This window comes from Homo sapiens, chromosome X, assembly GCF_000001405.40.
Source record: "Homo sapiens chromosome X, GRCh38.p14 Primary Assembly".
Taxonomy (NCBI): Eukaryota; Metazoa; Chordata; class Mammalia; order Primates; family Hominidae; genus Homo; species Homo sapiens.
Window position 1 is genome coordinate 127,144,093 of NC_000023.11, and position 8,485 is coordinate 127,152,577.

The following is an 8,485-nucleotide window of genomic DNA, read 5'->3' on the forward strand; positions in this document are numbered from 1 at the left end:
CCAAAGTTCCTATTCTAAGGTAGCATATCAGAATTTACTGCAAACAATTGCTAGTTAGAAGAGCTTAATTAATAAGTATAGTGGGACTCATATTTGCAATAAGCATTTCCCTGAAGAATTGTGCATATCCTAAATTTTTAAAAATTAAATTACACTTTATATGTATTAGAGGAGTTTCCTACTTAGGGACAATCTTTCATTTGTCATTTGAGCTTATCAGGCTTGTTTAATTAAATTTAGTATAGTAGATATAAAATTACCCAGTACTTGGCATTGTTACCCACCGCCAAAACCAGCATTTAATTAAAAGAAAAAATCTTATAGGTGTTTGAATTTATCAATTTATTCTACAAAATTGATTAGGTAGCCCTTTGAAGAAAAAATATGAATACTGAACAAAGTAGTAGTCTGTGAGATAATATACAGGTTATACTCTTGAGAAGCTTACACTGTGGAGTTGGGAAAAGAACAAAATCCTTTATTTAAACTAAAACAAAATATTTAGCAAGCAACGTTCAGAGCAAGCGATCAATGCAAGGTTATAAATTCCACAGAACATGTTACGATACATAGCTCAGAAGTGAATACCCTGGACAAGCTTAGAAGAAGCTACTCAACAAGAAAAGGTTATCTGTTAACCTTCATTTTGTAACATTTCTACTTTATTCCTATCAACATGTATACTTTTCCTCTTCTCTCATCCTTTTTACTAATTTCTTTCTCTCTCTCTCTCTCTCTCACACACACACACACACACACACACACACAGTCTTTTACTCCACAGTACCAATAAATACAATTGCAAAGACTTTTCTTTCCTGATGAAATTTCCAAGTTAAACTTAGTCTGTGCTCAAGACCTTTAAGAGCTTGGAAGCATTTTTATATATTGTTCCCTGGTGTCTTTGATCTAATTTCTGGAAACTATTTGAAAATCTCAGGTGTCTGAATGCAAATTTTATCCTTACAGTTCATTAATAGCTCTATAAAAGTTAAATATATGAGCTACTGCAAAATGGATCAGCTAAACTATTTGCTTAATGGATACACAGCCTGGGTACCACAGTACTAAGAGAAATATAAGGTCACAGTGTCAATTTTACTTGCTCATTTATTTTTTTTCTTTCATCATTCCTGCTTCTATGCATTAAGAATGCAAATTCATATTAAAATATATATGACCAAAAAGAAAATAAAATAAGAAAATTAGAAACACTGTTGTGGTCAAGTATTAATTCGAGAAAATTGATAATGTTAATTTAATATGTGGTCTGCTATTGTGTTAAAAGCTTTACACATATTATTGCATTTAAAACAAAACACAGTAAGTTAACTATTATTATCATTTTAAAGATAAAAACAAAGAGCAAAAGACTCAATGACTTGCCCAATGTCACACAGTTAGCAAGGAATAAATCTAACTCCAAAACCTGGATTATTCAAACTCTTTCTCATTAATTTGGCGTCAGATAATCCAGGTTCTTACCTTGTCTCTGCGACTGAACTGTGTGACCATGGAAAAAGCAGGTAACATCTTTGTGCTTCATTTTGTTTTCATCTTTAAAACAGGGATAATAATAGGACCTACCTCAGGGTCATTCTGGGTAATAAATTAGTTGATATATGTGCGGTAGTTATAAGTATGGAATAAGTGTCAGCTATTACATTAGCATTGTTGTTCTTTTCATTACTAATTAATTATTTGGGGAAGGGAAGGAGATAAATTACCCCATTTTTATATTCTGAAAGGGCTCGACATCACCAATTTCTTTGGTAATCCATCACAGTTGGAGCATGGAATGTTCTGGTTAACCTACTATTCTGTTTGATAAAGTGCTATACAATTCATCTTATTCAGATAATAGAGTACCAAATAATTTTAAGATACTGGATATACTATACTAAATTTATACTTAAGAAATTTTATCTCATAAATTAATCAGAAAATGCTACAGTCCATTTTTGGGCTTTACTCTCATAAATAATAAATGCGCTTACTATTGGTATTTCAGTAGTGAAATGTAGAAAGGAATCTAATGTGATACAGGACAGGAAATAGAGTTTACTCTCAATGAACAAACAAAATTTGATTCTTCTGAGTTTAGTAAAGGGACCTTTTTGAAAGCAGATTGTCATATCAAGTATTATACTTGCTATTAGAGAAAAATTAAAAGATGTCATTCTCTCTGAAAAAATACATAATACCATAAATGTAGGTAAATTTCCAGATAATACAGGCCTTCTATACAAGGGGCAGCGTGTTCTTCAGTTCTATCTGCTTTGCCTTGGCATGACATCTCACTCAGAGCTTTAATTTCAAGGAAGAATCTTTTTCTAGCTAACATCCTTTAAAGCAAACAAAGAAGGCTGTGCACTGAGGTATATTAAGTTCACATATATTAAGCATTGCTTACATTGTCTCTGCAATACAGAAACAAATAGCTATTTTTATAGGATTAATGCACAAGTCATTTCAATTAACAGAAATCATTAAAATGAAGGTTCCATTTTCTACAGAAGTCTGGATAGTACTTTCAATAAATACTCCAATTTCTTCAAAGATTTGCATGAGGATTTAGTTGTATAACTTCACTGAAAATTAATAGGATTCAGACATCAGGACTTCCACTTCAGGATAGGATAAACTTAAGAGACCGAATTTACCACTACTCCATCTGCCCAAAACAACAAGAAGAAATCAAACAAAAACCCTTCCAAACACACAAAATGATGGTTTATAAGACAATTAATATCAAACAAGTGAGGACAGTGATTCAGAAAAGATGAGAAAAAAAAACAAACCGAAACAACAAAAATAGTGAGTCTTATGAATGCTTCACCCTACTGCCTTAGAGTTTTCAGGTTACGTTGCAGATAGGAGGAACACAGGCTGAATCTGACAAACTGCCTCAGTTCAAGTGATGGAGCTGAGAGTCTGGGGACACCAAAATGACTAGAATTTTCATGACAAAGTAACAGATCAGAGAGAGAGAGAATGTCAGAAATCCATAGATAATTACCACTGAGCATTTAGCAGAGTACTGATTAGTACATGCATGTAAGGAAGACAGGAAAAGAGCCAACAGAAAGTATTAGAGGGAACACTGTTTGGCAATCACAAAGGGCAGGAAATAGTGCCTGTTGTAACAAGCCAGAATGGAAACGCCTATGAGAGTTTTTTTTGTTTTGTTTTGTTTTTTCCTCAGTGCAACCAATTCCCCAATTCTCTGACACCAACTGGGTGTCTTACAGTTCAATTCAATTCTGACACTATTTGAAGGTCACTCAGAACCCACAGGTTAAGGGTTCAGTCCACAAGACTCCTCCCACTTCAAATAGCAACTACAAATGGGGTGCCTAGGCTATCCACATTTCTGTCTGGCTGACTACAAATTTGGGGTTTAAAATCCCCTTACATTTGACCATTCACTACTATAACCCACAGGAATCAGGAAAGTACTTTGTTTACCATTACCCGTTTATTATAAAGAATATAACTCAGGAACAGTAAATGGAAGAGATACATAAGGCAAGGTAAGGGTTGAAAGGAATAGTGTGGAGCTTCCATTCCTTCTAAGGGTGTACCATTCTCCCAGGACCTTGTGTATTTACCAACCTGTAACCTCAATGATCCCCATCATTTAAGCGTTTTATAGAGGTTTCATTACATAAGCATGATTGATTAAATCATCAGTTATTGGTGATTGACTCAATCTCCAGCCCCTCACCCTTCCTGGAGGTTTGGGGGTGGAACTAAAGCTCCAAATTTTTAATCAAGGCTTAATCTTTCTGGCAACTGGCCTTCATTCTAAATTTATGCTAACCTCAAACTTGAAGCTATCCAGGGGTCCACTAAGAGTCAACTCATTAGTACAAAAGAGGCTCCCATCACTCTTATCTCTAAGGAAAGTCCAAGAGTTTTAAGAGCTCTGTGCCAGGAACTAGAAACAGAGACCAAATATCTTCTTTAGATACCAAGCCTCATAATTCATGAGATAGTGGGTGGGAAACTGAGAAAGGTTATGTTTCAGTATTGAGAGTAACTAGACTTGGACTATTTGGATCTGGCTAACTAATCTCGAAAGCAAGACCCAAAGGGATAAAACTATTTCCAAATAGTTTAAATGCATCTCATAACAAAGTACAAGGTTATTTATAGGAATACAAAAATATGCAGGACCAAAGTAAAATTTGCAATGCTTGGATCTATTCAAAAATTACAAGGCATGAAAAGAAGCAGGAAAATAAACCCCATAAATGAGGAGAAAAATCAAATAGTTTCTAAACCAAACCACAACTGACACTGATGTTGGAATTAGCAGACAAGTACTTCAGAACATTTATTGTAACAGTAATCCAGATGTTCAGGAAGTTGGTTGAGACATGGAAAATATTTTTAAAAAGCTCAAATCAAATTTCTAGAGTTAAAAATTACAACTGAGATTTAAACATAATATAAAGGATGGAATTACTGGGCTAATAGACATTGAAAAATAAAATATTAGTAAACTTAAACCCACAATAAGACACTATCTAGAATAAAAAAAGAGAAAACAAGATGTGCAAAATAAGTGAAAAGAGCACATATGAGTTACTGGATCACTTAAAGTGTCCTAGAACGTGTTTAATTCGATTCCCAGAGGAAAAAAGATACAGCATAAAGGGGTACAAGGATGATGATGAGCACTCTCACTTCTAGTCAACATTGTAATGGAGGTTTCATCCAGTGCAACAAGGGAATAAAAAGAAATAAAGGGAACTCAGATTAGAATTAAAGAAATGAATTGTGTTTATTTGCAGAAAATGTCGTGAAATCTACAAAAAAGCTACAAATAGTTTTTAGGATACAAGATAAAATGCAAAAATTAATTCCATTAATCTATACTAGCAATGAGCAATCAAACTTTGAAAAAATATATTATTTATAATAAACTCACAAAGTATTCAATACTCAGGAATAAATGCCACATAAAATTTGCAAAGATTGTACACTAGCAACTTTAAAACATTGCTGAGAGAAATTTTAAAAGCCTTAAGTTATTGAAGAGATATGCCTTCTTTATTGGCCAAATGACTCAATATTGTTCACATGTCAATTATCCTCACACTGATTTATAATTCCACATAATCTGTATCAAAATACAAGTTGGCTTTTAAAATAAATTGACAAACTGGTTCTAAAATTTATATGTAAATCCAAAGGACCTAGAATAGCCAAAATCATTTTGAAAAAGAAGAAAAAATTTGAAGGGCTAACATATCTGATTACAGGAATTATTATGAGCTTCAGCAATCAAGACAGGATAAACAAATACATCAATGGAAGAGAAAACATAATTCAGAAATAGACACACATAAATAAATGATTCTTAAATTTTTCATAAAATACATTAAAGTACATGTATCATAAAATGCACATCCTTAACCATTTTAACTGTACAGTTCAATGTGTATTTTAAATACACTTTTATATATACTTTAATGTACACTATTAAGTACATTCACACTGTTGTGCAACCATCACCACCATCTATCTTCAGGACTCTATTCATCTTGCAATGTTGAAACTCTATATCCATTAAGCAACAAGCCAATTAAAACTTCTATTTTCTCCTCCCACCACTACTTTTTGGTAACCACAATTCTATTTTCTCTCTAGAAATGTGACTACTCTAGTTACCTCAAATAACTGGTATTAAAATATTTGTCTTTTTGTGACTGACTTATTTATTTCACTTAGCCTAATGTCCTCAAGGGTCTTCCATACTGTAGCCCATTTCAGAATATCATACCCTTTAAAGACTGATTAATATTCCATTGTATGTAGAGACCACATTTTCCTTATCCAATGCTCAGTTGATGGACACTTGAGTTGTTTCACCTCTTGGCTTTTGTGAATTATGCTGCTATGAACATGGTTGTACAAATATATCTTCAAGACACAGCTTTCAATTATTTGTAGTACATACCTAGTAGTGGAATTTGCGGCTCCTGGGGTAATTATATTTTAATTTTTTGAGGAATCACCATACTGTTTTCCACAGTGGTTGCACCATTTTATATTCACACCAACAGTGCACAAGGGTTCCATTTTCTCCACATCTTCATCAACACTTACAATTTTCTGGGTTTTGTGTGTGTGTGTGTGATACTAGCTATCCTAATAGCATGGTGTAAGGTAATATTACCTTATAGCTTTGATTTGCACTGCCCTAATGATTAGTGATGTTAGCATCTATTCATAAGCTTATTGGCCACTTGTATAATTTTGGAGAAATGTCTATTCAAGCTGTTTGCCTATTTTTGAATCAGGTTATTTGTTTTGTTGTTGTTGTTCAGTTTTAAGTGTTCTCCATACATTTTAAATATCAGTTCCTTATCAGATATGTGATTTTCAAATATTTTCACTGACTCTCTGGGTTGCCTTTTCACTGTGTTGATTGTATCCTTTGATGCATGGAAGTTTTTTCATTTTATCTTAAGGTAGTCTAATTTATCTGTTTTTCCTTTTTTTGCTTGTGCCTTTGGTGTCATATCCAAACTTTGCTGCCAAATACAATATCATGAAGCATTGTCCCTATGTTTTCTTTTAAGAGTTTTAAAATTTTAGCTCTTAAGTTTAGTTCTTTCATCGTTTTGACTTAATTTTTGTATGTGGTGTAGGGTAAGTTTCCAACATCATTATTTTGCATGTGGGTGTCTAGGTTTCCAAAAACCATTTGTTGAAAAGACAGTTCTTTCCTTCATTGAATGGTCTGAACACCCTTGTTGAAAATTATTTGACTATATATGGTATAGTTTATTTCTGGGCTTTCTGCTTTATTCTATATGTCTGCTTTTAGTCTAGTACCATGTCGTTTTGATTACTGTAGTTTTATACTAAGTTTTGAAATCAGGAAGTGTGAATTCTCTAACTTGTGTCTTTTTTTCAAGATTGTTTTGGCTATTCAGGGTACTTTGGGATTCCATGTAAACTTTGGGGTGAGGGTATGATTTTTCAGCAAAAAAAAAGTTGTTGGGTTTTGATAGAGATTGCATTGAATCTAGATCACTTTGGGTAGTATCGACATCTTACATCTTAATGATTTTAAGTCTTCCAATCCATAAACATAAGATGTCTTTTATTTTTGTATGTCTTCTTCAACTTTTTTCAGCAATGTTTTATAGTTTTTATTATATGACTTTGTTTTACTTCCTTGGTTAAATTGCTTCCTAAGCATTTTATTATTTATGATGCTATTGTAAATGAGATTGTTTTCCTAATTTACTTTTTGGATTGCCCATTATTAGTGCATAGAAATATAATCCCTCCTGGCTTTTAAGGTTTCTGCTGAGAAATCTGCTGTTAGTCTGATAGGTTTTACTGTGTAAGTTACCTGATGATTTTGTCTCACAACACTTAAAATTATTTCCTTCATCTTGATTTTAGATAGCCTGAAGACTGTATGCCTTTGTGATGATCTTTTTGTGATGAATTTCCCAGGAGTACTTTAACCTTCTTATATTTCATTGTATAGATCTTTAGCAAGGCCACAGTTTTCCTCAATTATTCTCTCAAAAAAATTTTCCAAACTTTTACATAGATTTTCTTCCTCAGGAGCAACAATTATTTTTAGGTTTGGACATTTTATATAATCCCATATTTCTTGGAGACTTTATTCATTTTAAAATCTTTTTTCTTTGTCTTTATCTGATTTTGTCAATTTGAAAGCCTTACTTTTGAGATCTCAGATTCTTTCTTCTACTTGTTCTTGACTATTGTTGAAACTTTCCACTGAATTTTGTATGTTCCTACGTGTGTCTTTCATTTCCAGAAGCTCTGATTGTTTTTTCTTTATGATATCTATATTTCTGGAAATTTTATTCATATTCTAATTTTTAAAATTTTTTTATAAATTCACTTTTACGTTTCTCCAGTATCTCCTTGAGTAGCAACCTTAATAAGCAACCATCTGAATTCTTTATCTGTCATTTCACAGATTTCATCTTTGCTTGGATCCATCGCTTGGGAGCTAGTGTGATCATTTGGGGGTGTTATCAAATCCTGTTTTGTCCTATTACCAGTATTACTTTTTTTGTTCCTTCTCAATTGAGTATAGTATTTCTGAAAATTGCTCTTAAATTTATTTTTTGCTAGGACGGTGCTTTTTAATTTTTTTTCCTTTTAATTATCTGACTTTAAGGCTTATAGTTTATTGTAGTCTAATTTAATTCTGGGTGCTTTTAGGGGTGAAAATTCTATATGAGTTTCTTAGTTATACAGAGTCTTTGTGCACTGGATTTCCCAGATTCTGGTTGCAGTGGTGATGTAGTTTGTGTGTGGGCAAGTTTAGTGTCCCCTATTGGTTTGGTATGTGGTATGGCCAGGATCTCTTGAAACTTATCTAATTCTCTCATAGTGTGTACTTTACTTATTTATTTAATCCCCCCCTCTCAGTATTTTATTTGCTTAGTTGACGATTCAGACTTCAGGGCAATAAGGGGGG